Consider the following 16,950-nt stretch of genomic DNA (forward strand, 5'->3'; position numbering starts at 1 on the left):
TCCATCACAAAAAAAAAAAAAACAAAAAAAACAACGATCACTGTTCCTGGTCTGATCACAGCCAGCAGATTCCAGTGTAAGAATCACCTATCTGAGATGCCCAGGCATGCTCTGCACCTGGGAAGATGTAATAAATGCTTGAGAGCACTCGCATTCATGGAAGTAGGTGCAGCAGTGAGACACACAATCACTGAATCTCAAACGAGGGAGCCACAGAATCCTAAGCCTGGAAGTCACTAGGCCTTGAAGCAGAAGCAGAAAATCTTAGTCATACAACTATAATTTCATAGACTTAGAAGAGATCTGTGGGAATATCTAAACCAGTGACTTTCAGATTTTTTAATGCAACCTACATGTAAGAAAGGAGATTTAACATCATGACCCAGGACAGACCTGTGTGCATCTATACATAAAAAATGGAAACAAAAGTTCACGAGGCAATTTATTCTTACTTCATAAGATATGTCTATTTCTTTTTCTAATGCTGGTTTTGACCCACTAAACCTATTTTATTTCCTGTCTATGAGTCACCATCCATGGTTTGAAAAACACTGATCTAGTCCAATCTCCTTCCCTCAGCTCTAAGCAAGCCTCCTTGAGAAAATTCCACTCATCTGGGCCACAACAATGGTTTTAGATTTAAAAGGATTTTAGGGCCACATTTTCCTTTCCACCCTTTCCTCTGGAGCAGGGCAGTGTGTGCGTGGTGGGAGGTGGGAGGTGGGAGGTAAGGGTCCCTTCCTGAAACATACAGAAGGAACTGATAGCTCCTGGGTATCTGGATATTCCAATGGGAGCAATGGAAGACCTGAGGTCCAGGCACAGAGTGTTGAGGGGAGGGGTATGAAGGAAGGCAGAGACACAGAGGACCCAGACATTTTAGCTGGAAACAAAACAGGGAGGCTTTCCCACCCTGCCCAGTGGCTCTGTGACTGGAGGACCGAGGAGGAGGGAGGGGACCACAGCACGGGGCTGCACGCACGTGCCGTCGGAGCTGTTGCTGTTGGTGCTCCCATCGGTGGACTCCCGGCTGCCCTGGCGTGTGACCCGGCTCCGCATCTCCACCGCGATGCCTGTCTCCGTGCTCCGGCGGATGTTGCTGCGCAGCTTCTTGGTGGCCCCTTCTGTGACCCCCCCAACCCCAAGCACAGAGAGGGAACAAGGTCAGATTATGAATGGGGCTTCTCTAAGAGTCCTGCCAAAGTCACTCTCTTGGCATGGGGGGTTGATGGGGAGGATGAGCAGGGCTCTGACTGGAGGCAGGGGCATGGCTGAGCTGACCTCAGAGCTGGTCTGCAGCCTGACACCTGGCCCTGCTCCGGGCAGTGACACTGACAGAGCAGACTAGAAAGATGGCTGCAGGCAGAGTCATGATGGCGCCACCACGCAGAGCCGCAGATCCGCAGCTGGGGCCCTCGCCTCACCCTCATCAGGCTCCCCTGACGCCCACCTTCCCACTCGATTTCAGCCCTTGCCCCAAAGGTTAAGTGTGCCTCTTCCCACTCTCTTCTGGAAAGTTCATCTTCTCTGGGATTCTCAGACTGACTTTCCCTCTTTCAGGCACCCTCAGACCCTATCACACCCAGACCTCACAACTCACCTCTGATACCTCTGGAGGCTCTATAGGAAAGCCCCCATGGGAAGCCTGGCCACTCTCAAACAAACCCACCTTCTCTAGGTGGGGCTGAACATGGAGAGGACGTGTGTGGAGAGCTGGAGAGGCCATTAGGAAAACAAGACAGAGAGGGACTGCTGGGTTGACCCAAATTGTCTTTGGCTTTGAGAAAAGGTCTGCAGAAGAACCCCGAAGCTGGCCTGTGAGAACTTACCCGTGTCTCCGTGCCTCCTGTTCAGAGGCCCTCGACCCCCATATCCTGGCCTCCCCCTCAGCCTTGCAGGGAACATGGGACACTTTCCCTCTCCCAGCAGCACACCATCCTGCCTGGGTTTCCATGGCAACCTCCTCGGCATTGCAGTGTGGTCCCTCTAGACACCCTCTCCTCCTGGCGGGGGGCGGATGGGGGAGATGGCCTGAGGGTTTGCAGGGACTTCCCCCGCTGAAGCTTGGCAGCTGGAGGAACTTGATGGGGAGGGAACTGGCCCTCAGATGGGAACTGCACCAAAGGAACCATTTGCTGTCACTGGTTAGAGGCCAAGCGAATTAACAGTGGAGTTGCCTACAGGGAGGGGGAGAGGCCAGGGCAGGACAGGCAGCACAGCCCCTGAAAACAGTGGGGAGCAGGGAGCTGGTTACCTTGGCAATTCTCTCCCACCACACCCAATGGTGGGCTGGGGAGGGGATGTTCAAGACCCCAGCCTGGGAAAAGGAAGACTTTATTCCTCCTGCTTCGTCTGCTTATCTTTCAGAAAGTCCCCACTGGAGGAGGGCAGGCAGAGAGGTCTAGGATCACTAGTGGATGGAAGGGTGGGTGGCGGGACAGGCTGAGAACAGGGTGCAGGGTGAGGAGGAATGCCTTCTCTGAAATCATCCCAGCTTCTGGGATACTGGAATAGCATATTCAGGAATCCATGACACCATCAACATGTCAGTCTGTCTCTCTCATACACACACACACAGAGTCACATTAGCTCATACATATTTTTTTCACAAAGAGAGGCATAGGCAGACATGCACGAGCAGCAGCAATCACATATATGAATACAGTAATCTCATACACAAGGCTACATGCAGGTTTATATCACAGTCACACAGTCACAAATGGTCCTACCAGGTCTTGGTCACATGTACACATGATGGACTCTGCCACCTTCAGTCAAGTCACAGACACATGATCTTCACATGTAACACTTGGAGTTGAACCCTCCCATTCAATCACATATGTTGATGAAAACCCACAAATGGTGTCTGACTCACCTCACACACAGAGGCCTGGGTAAAAATGCTGGTGTGTGGGGCCTCTCCCTGTCCGTGGCTCCTAACTCTACATCCTCTCTAACACAATTAGAAAACAGATGGGTCTGTGGGGGCTCCCTCGCCTTCATATCTCTACCCCACAACACACAGCCTGAGTTGGGGTCACCTCCTCATGACCCCAACCCTCCTCTTTCAGAGTTTAGGGAAACTTTGACCCATTTGGGAGCAAATTTGCCTTTTTGATAAGACTTGTCCAACCCAATGTGAGACCCTGAGTCGGGGAGTCACAGAATCCTGAAATCTTAGAGATACTTTGGCTACCCCTCCCCCAAATTTCACAGATGGGAAGCCTGAGGTTCAGGTGCCGAGAGAGCTGGGACTAGATCAGGCCCACAGACTCCCAGTCTGCTGTCATGCTCTTTTCACTCCCCTCCCAATCCCCCATCTAGCTGAGAGGTGATTCAGCAGAGATTAAGTTCCATGACCTCAGAGGGAGGAGAAAGCTCTTGCAATCTCAGAGACGATCCCTCCACTGGCTTCATACATGTCCATACGATCCCTCCACTGGCTTCATACATGAATAGTCTCAACCCCTGCTGATTTAAGGAATAACTTTATATAATCTCTCTCTCAGTTGCTTGCAATAATTCTATGGGCTCCAGAGACCAAAAGACTCCAGGAACCATCCCATCTGTCCCATCACAAACAAAGGAGGGGCACTCACAGCCTGTACCACCACTCCCTATGGCATCTTCTGGAATGGTCCTGAGCCCTCTCTCTACCCTGACCCAGATCCCAGAGTCCAGAAGGGGAAAGCCACTGTCCCTGGTACTGAAAATACTAGCTCCGTTTGGGCAGGGGCTGGGACAGCCCAGGATGGTCCTGTGTAGACCCAGCCAATTGCCAGACCAGAACCCACCTGTGTCCTGGACCCAAAGCTCTGACCCCACCCTCCTCACTGCTCCCACGACTTAGTGAATGTCAGATCCAGAAGGAAACTGGGAGAGAGCATTTTAGCTCCATTTTACAGAAGAGGAAACTGAGGCCCAGCGGAAAAGTAAATTTCCCGAGGTCCCATGGTGAGTTACAGAGCCAGGACTAGCCCTCTAAAGTGAGTTTTTGTAAGTCCACTCTAGGGCAACAAGAGGAATAAACTGGAAGAAGGCAGGCAGGAGGCAGGAGAGCTAGAGAGGAGGGTGGTGCAATCGTCCAGGCTAGATATTATGGGTCCTGTACTAGGGCAGGGGCTTTGAAACAAAGAAGGATGGGCAGAGGTCTAGCCATTGCACAGTACGGACACACCAGGAGGAAGGAGGCCCTGGGAAGGGCAGACCTGAGCCCAGAAGACAGAGTCCAGGAGAGGAATTCCTCCCCACTTCACACAGCCCAGCCCTGCAGGGAATGGAGCCATCTCATCTGTCAGGAGTGGGGGCACCCTTCTAGGTCTTTCCCAGAACAGTTTCCAGAGCCAATGCCCATGAGTCTGCCTCATATATTCCTCTGGCACCAGATGCTCCCACCCATGAGGTGGGTCCGAGCTGGGATACTGGCATCCTCAAGGCATGGGGGCAAAAAATGGAGAAGGAATTCTAGATGGAGAGGAACGTGCTACAGGGAAGGAGCAGAGGTGTGGAGGCTGAGAACTCACTTCTCTTTTGGCTTTATGGTACAATGGCAGGTAATAATAACAGCATCAACACTTCACTGAGTGCCTATACTATGTGCCAGGCATGAAGCTGGGTGCCTTTGCATACCCTATCTCACTTAATTCCCTGGATAACTCTGCAAGGCATGTATCATTGCCCTCATTCTACAAACAAGGCAGCAGGCTCAGAGAGGTGAAGTAACTTGCCTTAGTCACCCGGCTAGTAAATGACAGGGGATGGATCTGAACTTGAGGTCGTTCTCCAGGAACATGCTTTCTCCCCAGGCTCTGGATGCCTCATCAATAAAATAAGTACAGCGTACTAGATGATCTCAAGGGACTCTCCTCACTCACATTCAGCAATTAGCTGATTCACAGAGACCTTCAGTTAGAAGGGCATCTGGGCAGTTCCCCTAGCTCCAGTCCTTTAGCCATGCCCTTGCATACCAAGGAGACAAGGGATTCAGAAGCCCCATCATCATTCATCTCTTCTCAAGATGAAAGGTCTTCCTGGTATCTGCTCCAATCCCTGCCTGCAGCCTGTAAAGTCAAGGCAGACCACTAGAAGGTTCTCCCAGTGACTCAGGTCCCCATCCTGGCCTTGGAAGACTGTCCCCCCAAATCACTTTGGGCATGAAGAAGCCTTTGGGTCTGAAGCTGAATCAGCTGGATTTCTGGGCTTGGTCCCCTGGAGCCAGACTCCCGGGGTCCAACACCTCCACGACCTTCTAATCTTAATCTCACTCCTTAGTCCTATCTCAGCCCCTTCCTTGTCCCAGCCCAATTTCTAGATCCCTAAGTCCCCATCTCCCTGACTCTCTAGTACCAGGCCTAAACTGCATATTCACAGAGGCCATGCCCACTCTAGGGCTCTGATAACCTCAAGCCCCTTCCCCACCTATAATAGCTTTCCCCAGCGAGAAACCACATCACAGCTTGATTGCTGGAAAAGACCAGCCCACGTGCTACTGTCGACGGCTTTGTATAAATCTATTTTAAGGCCTGGAAAAGTCCCCCACCCCCAGCCCCAACTGGGAGCCTTGATGAGCATTCTCCCTGGATCCTCCGGAGCCCCCGCCCCCTCACCATCCCATCCAGCTGCCTATTTGAAGGTTTCTGGGGAAGTTGTTACTCTGAACAAAATAAGCCGGAAGAGATTTTAAAACAAAACCAGCTGGTGTCTGGGCTGATACCACAAAGTGAGGAGGTCTTGGTGGGGAGGGCTGGCTCCTCTGTGATGTGGGGTCTATGTATGTCACAAGGTGGTCACCCACCAGGCTGAACATAACTGAGATTCTGCAGCTAGGTGTCTGAAAAAGGATACTGTATTGATGAGGATGGAGCTGTTAAGGTGTGTGTGAATGTGGCTTTGTGATGTACACCTGCACACATGTGACATGTTTCTGTGATCTGGGTCTGTGCATGTGTAATCAGAGGGCTGTGTCTGTGTGGTTTGCATGACTGGTTTTATCTGTGACCATGCGCAGTGTGAATTACTCTATTATGCTTCCCTGGAAATACGGGCAGCTTACCAGAGACACTGAGCGTTCTATTTATGTAACTGCACAAGTCACACATCTTTGTGTGTGTCTCCCTTGTGCTTTGTAACATATACATGGGACTACAGAACTGCATTTGTGTGGCTATTTGTATTTAGGAGACTAGGAGATTACAGGCGAGACTGAATCTTTTTTGTTTTTTAAACCAGGGGGTCTCACTATGTTGCCTAGGCTGGTCTCAAACTCCTGGGCTCAAGTGACCCTCCCGCTTCTCCCTCCCAAAGTGCTGGGATTATAGGTGTGAACCCTGCACCCAGCACTTGAGACTAAATCTTATGGATGTGTATGTCTGTAAAACTGTGGTGTCACTTACACAGTGCCAGGATCATAAGGCTGTTTAATAAGTAATTACTGGTTAATGTCTGTGTGTGGAGACAGTGGAGTGTAAAGGTTAAGAGCATCAGCTAGGAAGCCCAACTGCTAGAGTTTGAATCCAGGCTCCACCACCTACTAGTTGTGCAGTTTGAAGCATCTGACCTCCCTTTTCTGTTCTTTGGTACCTGCCTCATAGAGCTCCATGGAGATTTAATCAGTCCATACACCTACTGGACCTAGAACAGCACCTGGTGTATGGGAAGGGCCACAGTATAAGTGTCTGTGGGCATGGAAGTGCAGACCCATCAGGGCAGTCCCTGGGTAGTCTGTCTTTGCGAAGTGTCCCCCACCTCTACCCCGTGATGTCCCATGCCCCCTCACCAGGCTGCGGAAGCTGGAGTGTGCTCTTGCTCCACTGAGTCAGGCCCACGATGGCCACCATCTTGGCACCCAGGCTGCTCCGCCGCTTCTTGGCGGTGGTGGTCCCAGCCCCGCCCCCGGCTTGCTGGGATCCGCAGATTTCACCGCTAATGCTGGAGCTCCGCACCACATTCCTGGAGGCCCCAGATGAGGCAGGACCTGGCTCCCCGTTAAACATGGTCCCCGGGGTGGCAGGGCCTCAGGCAGCTCTGAAGATGGGCAGGAAACAAAAGGATCCCACATCAGACCTGGATGAATCTACTGCAGTCCCACCACTTCCTAGCTGCGTGACCTTGGGCTAGTCACTTGACCTCTCTGAGGCTATAAGGTTAAATGCACAAACAAATGTCAAGAGCATGCACAGGTTCTGGCTCAATAAAAGAGACTATTCCTATTAGCACATGGCTATGAAAAACCTTGCAGGTGACCGGTTTGATGGAGAGGACCGAGGCTGTGGAGTCACATGGCCCGGGCTTGAATTCCAAAGGCCTCTACACACTAGCTGCGTGGACTTGTGACCAAACAAACATCCTGAGGTTTCAGTGAACATCTCAGCAAGATGTGAAATAAAAGCACTTAGCTCATAGGATTGTTCTAAGGATTACATTAAATAATGCACAGGAAGTGCCTGTCAGGCTTAGGGGAAATATTCAGTAAGTATTGGTGGTTATTATTTTCATAGCAAATAATAACAGGGAGAACAGAACTGGCTCCAGCCTGTGCAGACTCTGGTGGGGTCCTTCTATGTGAAGGGGATACTGCAGAAAAGTCCAAAGCAGCAAGAAAATCACCCTTTATCGTACTCTTGAGAGGCATTTTAGCCTATTCCCTTCCAGCCACCCTTCCATGCAGTTTTTAAAATAACTGAACTCATACTGCAAATATCATTTTATATCCTACTATTTTTTCATTTAACATTATATCATGGTCGGGCACAGTGGCTCATGCCTGTAATCCTAGCACTTTGGGAGGCCGAGGCGGGCGGATCACCTGAGGTCAGGAGTTCGAGACCAGCCTGACCAACATGGTGAAACCCCATCTCTACTAAAAATACAAAAATTAGCTGGGCGTGGTGGTGGGCACCTGTAATCCCAACTACTCAGGAGGCTGAGGCAGGAGAATCGGTTAAACTGGGGAGGCGGAGGTAGCAGTGAGCCGAGATCGCACCATTGCACTCCAGCCTGGGTGACAGACCGAGACTCTGTCTCAAAAAAAAAAAAAAATATTATATCATAAGCATTTCCCAATGTCATTAACACTATGTATGCTACCGTGATATTCCATTGTATAGAAGTAGCATAATTGATTTAAGTATTTCAGTAGAGTTACCGCTTAGATCAGGCCCAAGTTTATCTCCTCTTTCTCTCTTTCCTCTCTTTTATTTGTATTTATTTATTTATTTATTTTTTTGAGATGGAGCCTCACTCTGTCACCCAGGCAGTGGCACAATCTCGGCTCACTGCAACCTTTGCCTCCCGGATCCAAGCAATTCTCCTGCCTCAGCCTCCCGAGTAGCTGGGATTACAGGCGCCCGCCACCAAGCCTGGCTAATGTTTTGTATTTTTAGTAGAGATGGGGTTTCACCATGTTGGCAAGGCTGGTCTCGAACTCCTGACCCCAGGTAATCTGCCTGCCACAGCCTTTCAAAGTGCTGGGATTATAGACATGAGCCACCGGGCCTGGCTTCTTTCCTCTCTTTTAAATAAGCATGGCAATAAACATCTTTCTCTCTTTTTTTTTTTTTTTTGAGATGGAGTCTTGCTCTGTCACTCAGGCTGGAGTGCAGTGGCACGATCTCGACTCACTGGAACCTCTGCCACTCAGGTTCAAGCGAATCTGGTACCTTAGCCTCCCAAGCAGCTTGGATTACAGGCGTGCGCCACCATGCTCAGCTAATTTTTTTGTATTTTTAGTAGTGACGGGGTTTCACCCTGTTGACCAGGCTGGTCTCAAACTCCTGATCTCAAGTGATCCACCCACCTCGGCCTCCCAAAGTTCTGGGATTACAGGTGTGAGCCACCACGCCCAGCCTAAGCATCTTTCTACATGGATTTTGTCTGCTTATTTCTTTAGGACTGATTCCTCGAAATGGAACGACTGGATCAGGGGGTACAAATACTGCTAGGAGCTTCCCTAGCATCCGCTCCCCCTTTCTGCTTCCTCACAGAGGGCTGGTTTTGTCCAGGTACCACCCACCCCTTGTTTTAGAGGCAGATCTTGATTAATTTAAGGCAATCTGTGAATGGCATTCACCTTAGCAACTCTTACTTGTCCAAGGGGGGGAAGATTTGGATCCCATGCTTACAAGAAAGGTGGGGGGCTCTCTCTCTTTCTCTCTCTGTCCTTCTCTTTCCTACACCCTAGAGAGGGCTAAGCCCTAGGACAAAGCCAGTGCTACTGTGAACAGACAGCGCTCAGACAGAAAGTACCTCAGGCCATACCTAGGGCCCGCCCTGCGCTGGCCTTCCAATGATGTGAGACAATACATTTTCCATTGCTTAAGCCAGTTTGAATCAGAGTTCTCTGTTACCTCCAAAAGCATCCTACCTGATGCCAGGGTCATAAATGTCTTTTGGATTCTTAGAATCTATTGTCAAATTCCTTTTTAAAATATAGACATTTACTCTCCCTGTTAGCTGCATTCAACAAATATTTAAGCCCCTAAAATTCCCAGGCCCATGTTGAATGCCAAGGATACAGCAGTGAGTCAGGCCAACTTGGTCCTGCCCTCCCAAAGCCTCCAGTCCAAGACGGAGACAGACAGTAAGTAACTAATTCTACAGTTAAAGATTTAATGATGGTTACACTAAGTGCTAGGGAAGAGGACAGAGGGCCCTGAGAACCACTCTGGGGGAGGGGGCTGCAGGAGTCCATGGCTCTGTTTTTAACAGAGCTGGGATCTCCAGCTGTTGGCCTCCACAGTTTGGCTGCAAAGTCCCAAGCTGAAGTCAGTATCCTCTGCTCAGGAAGAACCCAACAAGGCCAGCCTCTCCAGCATGCTCTGCACCCAGCACCCTACTGGCTCTGTCCTAGCCCACAGTGGTTTTCCTGGGGCAGCTGACCATGCCAGGGTTCAGGGCACTTCACTTGACCCTGGGCCCCCGGGCCTGGAACACTGAGAGAGTCTGCCTATTCAAAAGGACACAGAAAGGGGAGGGAGAATGGGTGAAAGAGGAAAAGCACCATTGTGGCAAATAAAGGAAGACAGTCCCCAGACAGCTGAGAATGGTCACCTGGTCAGCATGGCTCCTGCCAGCCTGGCAAAGTATAGCTGACAGAGTGGATGAATTAACGCCTCATTTTGCCTTCTCTGTGGCTGCCTGGACCGATCTCATTCGCCCTGTGACGTGTGCAGAGTCCTGGATTGTATTTCTCTATCCCCCATCAACCCTGCAGCTAATGGAAAGTCCCCCTGGACTGGGGCCTATGATGATCTCTTCGAGTTTCCAATTCTAGTGCCAGTGTGTGTGTTTTTGAGGTATCTGCACGGTGTTTTGGTGGAAGGTGGGAGAAGGCTTATCTGATCCTGTGACTCTGCCACGGTGTAGGTCTAATTTACTCCTTACAGTATTTCTGGAAGGCATGTGGTTATCTCTGTATTGTAGATAAGAAAACTGAGTCTCAGAGAAGTAAAGGACTTGTTCATACTAGCCAGCTAAGAAGAGGCAAGGCCTGGACTTGAACCCAGGTCTCCTGTTTCCACAAAGAGACAGAATGCTTAGCATCCCCTGTCCCTTCAACCAAAAATGGAGGCCCGGCCCTTAAGCTCAGACTCTGCCCTGGGTCTCTGGGCCCTTTGAGAAAACTAAAAGGAAAGTGTCTATATGAGAAAAGCCCCTCTGGCCCAGGTTCCCACAGCTGTCATGAGCATCTAAGTTAGGGCAGTAGAAATCCCAACCGGACCATAGCTGGAGAAGCAAAGTGCTTCCCTAGCACAGCCTCTGGGAAGCAAGAGAGTACCACCCCCAGGGGGTGAAAAGGGAAGGGGGTAAGGGACAAAATTCCTGACCCTGCCAACCCAGGGGCTCATGTTTCCTCATGAATAATAAATGGAATTGACAAGCAGTTGGTTTGGCATCAAGGTCTCTGCACCATCCAGAGCTATTTTCTCATCTTTAACCATCTAGGGATCAACCAGGGGGGCTGGAGAACTGAAAAATGCTTGGGAGGGCCCAGCCTGCAGGCCACTCCCCAAGGGGCAGGAGGAGCCAGACCCAAAGCACTGGACCCAAGGTCCTAGGACTGACCTTGTGGGTCAGAAGTCCTGGGTAGGGCAGCTTAGGAGGATTAGGAATCAGGATGTGGGATTCGAACGTGAACAGATTCCTTATGTGAACTCCTCTGGGCCTCGGCTGTCTCATCTGGGTGTAAAATGAAGGGGTCAGGTTAAGTAATCTCTAAAAGTCCTTTTGACTGGGAGAGTTGAGTCTCTGAATGCACATTGTAGCAGAGGTCTCAGAATTAGAGATCTAGTTTCTTCTCCGGCAGCAGGTCTAGCTCAGGAAAGACATGCCAAAGTTACAGATAGGGAACCTAAAAGGAGGGCCATCCACTGCATAGCAACCCCTGAGCCATCAGACCACAGGGATGGAAAAGGGAAGGTGGTGGAGACTGTGGCAGAGTGGTTAGGAGCAGGCAGGACACAGAGCACACCGTGTCACATGTTGGTGATTCCAAACGATTGCTAAATAAACTATACCCTTCCCACGCAAGTCCCTTCACCAATTCCCTGCTTCTGAGCAGACTGTCCCTTTCTCAGCCCAGGTCATGGCACCGCAGGGAAGGAAACCGTCCTATGATCCCAGTGAGTCACAGAGACCTCACTCTGAAGTTCTTCCTGCTGACTCCCAGCTATTGCCACAGCAGCACAGAAACTTTGATCTATCCTCCAGGGAGACAGCTACTGCCCCCACTCCTGCCAAAACTCCATGCCAAAAGAGACCTGCCCAGCTCCCCAGGAATAAGCTTTGTGTTTTCTTTTTAGCCCTTGGATGTTTGGCCTCTACCCTGGGGTCTCAGTACCCTAAAAGGGCCCTCCAAACTCTCTCCTGAATCCTGACAACAGCAGGTCTCAGGGCCCTACCAGGCTACCCTGGGCCCCTCAGTCCCTTTAACCGTGGGTCTAACCAGATAACTTTTTTTTTTTTTTTTGAGATGGAGTCTTGCTCTGTCACCCAGGCTAGAGTGCAGTGGTGCGATCTCGACTCACTGCAACCTCCGCCTCCTGGGTTCAAGCAATTCTCCTGCCTCAGCCTCCCAAGTAGCTGGGACTACAGGCGCCCACTACCACGCCCAGCTAATTTTTGTATTTTTAGTAGAGATGGGGTTTTGCCATATTGGCCAGGCTGGTCTCGAACTCCTGACCTCGTGATCTGCCCACCTCGGCCTCCCAAAGTGCTGGGATTACAAGTGTGAGCTACCGCGCCCGGCCCAGATGAGAATTTTTGGTAGTTCAAGGCCGCACAAAAGCTCAAGATGAACCTAGCCACCCACCTTTCCAACAGTAAAGACCAAGGAATGCATCACAGGGTGATGGAGTGTTAGGCTGGAAGGGACTGCAAATAACTGAGGCTCCCACCACCCCTCCCCATCCTCTACTCACAGTGGACATCATTAACCTCTCTCTTTCCCATCAAGGTCAGACTTAGCCTCAGAGTCCCTCTCAACACAGGGCACCAGCACCAGCTGATGAGAAACAGCTCATGAGCTAAAACTGACTTGCTGTCTCTATTCTAGCCTGAGCCTTTTATTTTGCAGAACAAGAAATCAAGGCCCAGAATGGGGGAAAGACGCACCAGGGTGACATAAAAAATTGGTGGCAAAATCACTGCTTCAACCCTAAGTCCCCTAACTCTCAGGTCTCACATCACCTATTGGGTGCTCCCTCCCCACCCTTCACCTGGAAGAAAACCCAACTCACCGAACTGATGAATCTGAGCCTGGTGTTCCGCATCACAGGGGGCTGCCTCCCAACAGCACACCCCTAGGGCATTTGCACAAGGCTTCAATTGACTTCTGCCAAAACACCAATTTTCAAGAAATGAGGTGAAGGCAATCAGGGCAGGCTCCCAGAGGAGGCGATGTGATAAAAGGGTCTGGAAGGGAAGAGAGGAGCTTAGAGGAAGGGCTAGGTAAAGCATCTACCCTCAAGGGCTTCCAGTAGATTGTGGCATAAAAAGATAGACTTTGAAGAAGCTGTGTGACCTTGAGCAAATCATTTAAACTCTTCAATTCTCCATTTCCTCTTGTAAAATTTTTACAACTCATGGGCCCCCTTAATGTTCCTTTAGGTACTTGGATGTCAAGCTGCTGAAGACCCACAACTTTGAGATTTTTAAATACATGTACAGAGACTTGGCCAGGACCAACTGCTAAGGAGCTCTAGACCCTATCCTTCCTTCCTCCAACCTCCCTCTGATTAATGGGGTCTGTGTCCCTCCCCAGACACTCTGTGACATGCCAAGCAGTTGGGGGACACACTCCTGGCTCTACCCCCAGCCATGTGATCCTGAGCAGGTCCTTCAGCTTCTCTGAACCATTCCCTCCATTCCCTCCTCTACAAAACGAGTCTAATCACCACCTGGGCCCTCCCTGACTCTCCCGGCTGGACTGGGGTCAGATGAGACAAAGAGGAGCAGAAAGGCAGAGTGAATGAAACACATGCTCTGCAGGCAGACAGACTTAAGTGCAAAACCTAGATCTGCCACTTACAAGCTGTATGATACAGGGCTTCCTTAACAAATCCCCTGAGCCTAATGCTCCTCATCTCTAAAGTGGGGACGATAATGCCTGCTTTAGGATTCTTACATAAAACATTATAAAACAAGGATTGGGATGTGGTAAATGATCATCAGTTGGGCAATTACATTATTATTACTAATAAGATTCCTTTATAAATCGTAAAGGATTGTCCAGTTGTTAGTTCTTATTGGTCTGGAGTCCACACCAGGTGCAACCATTGCAGGGGAAGGCCCAGAGACTAGGAGCATCGCCTCCTACCACAGCCCTGAGTGCTCCAGAAGTCTGGGATCAGGGTCCCTGCACTTTTCAGTTGAGGTGAGAGGTGGCGCATGAAGCTGTGCCAGCATCTCAGCTCCTGACCCCTTGCTGGATGCTGGGTCTGGCATCTAAGACCCCTGGCCCAAACCTAATCCAGCACCAGGATGGCCCATCGCATCACCTGTGCCAATCTGTGCCCCTGTCAGAGGCCAGTGCCTGCATTCACAGAAGGGGGAAAGGGGCTCCTTCGGCTCTAGTCTCTCCTGTCCCCACTCAGGGAGAGGTGGGCGGGTGATGAGTTGGTAGGTGGTTGTGGTGGGGAAGGCAGTCTGTGCCAAGGAAGCACACCCAGCCAGCGTGGGCAGCACACAGCGGCGGCTCCTCTCCTAGTTGTGCAGACCTTTGTCTCCCCGAAGCCAGGCTGGCACGTGCATGCACAGACACACACACACACACACACGTGCACACACACATGCAGGAAGAGACATGGGGCACAGAATTCCAAATGTGTGATCACACAGACTTATGTCAATGATACACACTTAAAGACGCAATCATATGTGCACACCACCCCCCACTAAGATACTCATACACACAGAGACACACAGAAGCAGCCACGACAGCCATAGTCGTTCACAGACTCACATGTGTACACACCTGCAAACACCCACACACACCCTCCCCATTGGGCCCCTGCCCAGTCCAGAGAGGCAGGAAGAGCCCCATGGCTCCGTGGGCAGGGAAGCAGGAAGCATCTTACCCTGAGCCGTGGGCTCCCTTGGCTAAGGCACACACCCCACCTCTGAGCAGGTGTGTGCGAGCTTGAACACGTGCACAAGGTGTGTGCAAGCTTGAACACATGCACAATCATACACACCACAGCCCCCAATCTCACTCGCCTGGCCCCCATCCTCGCCAGACCGGACAAAGGAGCTCATCGGTGAGGTTTGTGGTGAGGAGAGGAGAAGGCTGGCAGGGAGCAGCTGCTGTCACCATGGCTACCAGGCTGACCCACTTCTCCTCCACCCAGCCTGGCCCACTCAGCCTGGGCAAGGCAGGGACAGGCAGCTTTGGGCAGGGTGGGCCCTCTCCCATCAGACACAGGAAACGGGTAGCCCTCTGAGGGTATGGTAAGGGATGGGTTGAGAACCCCAGAGAGGCTGGATACTGTGTAGGAAGGCAATACAGACTCCAGACATACCTTGAGGGGAGTGGGGTGCTGAAGGCATGGTCCCTGCAAGACCTACAAGACTGAGCCCCTGATGTTCCCCCAGGGCCTCAGGGCACCACATGGGCCCTAGATACATTCTCAGTCACAGTCCTCATGGCAGTGCAGGGGATGGGGTGGTCGGACTCAAACCACAACTCTAAGGACTCAGAACACACAAGGGTAAGGCAGACCCAGGGCTGGGTGAGCCGTGTCTCCCATTCAGAACAAGGTTCCTGAAGGCTCCACTAGGGGCCGCTGGGGTCACCCAGCAGCCATGCCCCCTTCCCAGGACAGGGTCACCATGGGCCTTCACTGGGCTGGGGGCTCCTGAGGACAGGGCTGTGTGTTCTTCCTCAGAAGCAGGGACTTGAAGGAACAATACCGCCTGAGTCAGTTTTGGGAGGAGCCAGCCTACAAAGCAGAATGAATCTCTCCTGCTTGACAACCTCCCTTAGCTTCCCATTTCCTGCAGGACAAAGGAGAAGGCCCTTGCCAAGGCCCACAAGCCCATGTGAACTGGGGACTGTCTTCCTCTCCTATCTCCCAGCCCGTCCCATGCCTCTTGCCCCTACTCTGTATTCCAGCCACACTTGCTTCTTTTCAGTCCTCAAAAGTACCACCTTGGGCCGGGCGTGGGGCTCATGCTTGTAATCCCAGCACTTAGGGAGGCCAAGGCAGGTGAATCGCGTGAGCCCAGGATTTTGAGACCAGCCTGAGCAACACGGTAAAACCTCATCTCTAAAAAAAAAAAATACAAAAATTAGCCTGATGTGATGGCACACACCTGTAGTCCCAGCTACTCGGGAGGCTGAGGTGGGAGGATGGCTTGAGCCTAGGAGGCAGAAGTTGTAGTGAGCCGAGATTGCAACACTGCACTCCAGCCTGGATGACAGAGCCAGACTCTGTCAAAAAAAAAAAAAAAAAAAAAAAAAAAAGAGCCACTTAGCCACTTTGTCTCCTGTCTGCCTGGCATACCTTCTCTGCCCCCACCCCCATGATCTGGTGGCCCCAAACTTGTCTGTCCTGCCACCTTTGCCTGGCTAAACCCTATTCTTGGCTCAATCCAAGTTTGAAGGTCATTTCCTAGGACAGTCTTCCCAGATAAGGTTAATCCCCATAACTCCCTTTGTACTGTCCCTGTGTGTTATAAGTTGAGTTGTGTCCCCCCAAAAACTGTTGAGGTTCTAACCTCCAGTCCCTCAGAATGTGACTTGGTTTGGAAACACGGTCGTTGCAGATGTGACAAGTTAAGATGAGATCATGCTGGAGAAGGGTGGGTCCCTCATCCAATATAACCAGTGTCCTTATAGGAAGGTGGCCACGTGAAGACAGACACGGGGAGAGCGCCATGTGCCGACGGAGGCAGAAATGGGAGTGACGCGTCAATGCGCCAAGGAACGCCAAGGATTGCCACCTGTCACCAGAAGCCAGGGGAGGGGCACGGAACAGATTTTCCCTCACAGCACACAGAAGGAAGCAATCCTGCCAACACCTGATTTTAGACTTGTAGCCTTCAGAACTGTGAGAGTCTACATTTCTGTTGTTTTAAGCCACCCTGTTTGTGGCGCTTTATTGCAGCTTCCCTAGGCAATGAACACACTGCTGTTCCTAACTTGTTCCGTACTTGTCTCCCACACCCCGCCCCCTGGCTGTGAGCTGGTTAAAAATAGGAACCTTGTCGTCGTCTTCACCCTGAACCCCTAGTACCTGGCACAGGTCTGGCATATAGCAGGACTCAGTAAATATTTGTAGAATGAATGAATGGCAACTTAAAACATTAAATTAGCAGTATTTATAGCACTGTGAGTCATTTTTATTTTCTCCATGTGACATACTGTGTTTTCTAAAGTTACTACTTAAGAAACTGTATTAATGTTATAATAAAGAAAAAAACCAAAACCACATATTTTTCTTTTCAAAACATACA

The 16,950-nt window shown here is 50.8% G+C and overlaps 1 protein-coding gene across 3 annotated transcripts in view; it reads right to left on the reverse strand.

Moving 5' to 3' along the window:
• RIMS3 (regulating synaptic membrane exocytosis 3) overlaps positions 1 to 16,950 on the reverse strand; it is a 71,387-nt gene that overhangs the window by 14,254 nt on the left and 40,183 nt on the right. For all 3 annotated transcript variants that reach the window (XM_047435189.1, XM_047435184.1, NM_014747.3), the window contains 3 exons: positions 12,735 to 12,909; positions 6,776 to 7,023; positions 983 to 1,124 (listed from right to left, as the gene is read on the reverse strand). In XM_047435189.1, the coding sequence (XP_047291145.1) occupies positions 983 to 1,124; positions 6,776 to 6,992 (359 nt within the window). In that variant the 5' untranslated portion in view covers positions 6,993 to 7,023; positions 12,735 to 12,909. The remainder of the gene's footprint in view (positions 1 to 982; positions 1,125 to 6,775; positions 7,024 to 12,734; positions 12,910 to 16,950) is intronic.

This window comes from Homo sapiens, chromosome 1 (assembly GCF_000001405.40).
Source record: "Homo sapiens chromosome 1, GRCh38.p14 Primary Assembly".
In the NCBI taxonomy this organism is placed as follows: domain Eukaryota; kingdom Metazoa; phylum Chordata; class Mammalia; order Primates; family Hominidae; genus Homo; species Homo sapiens.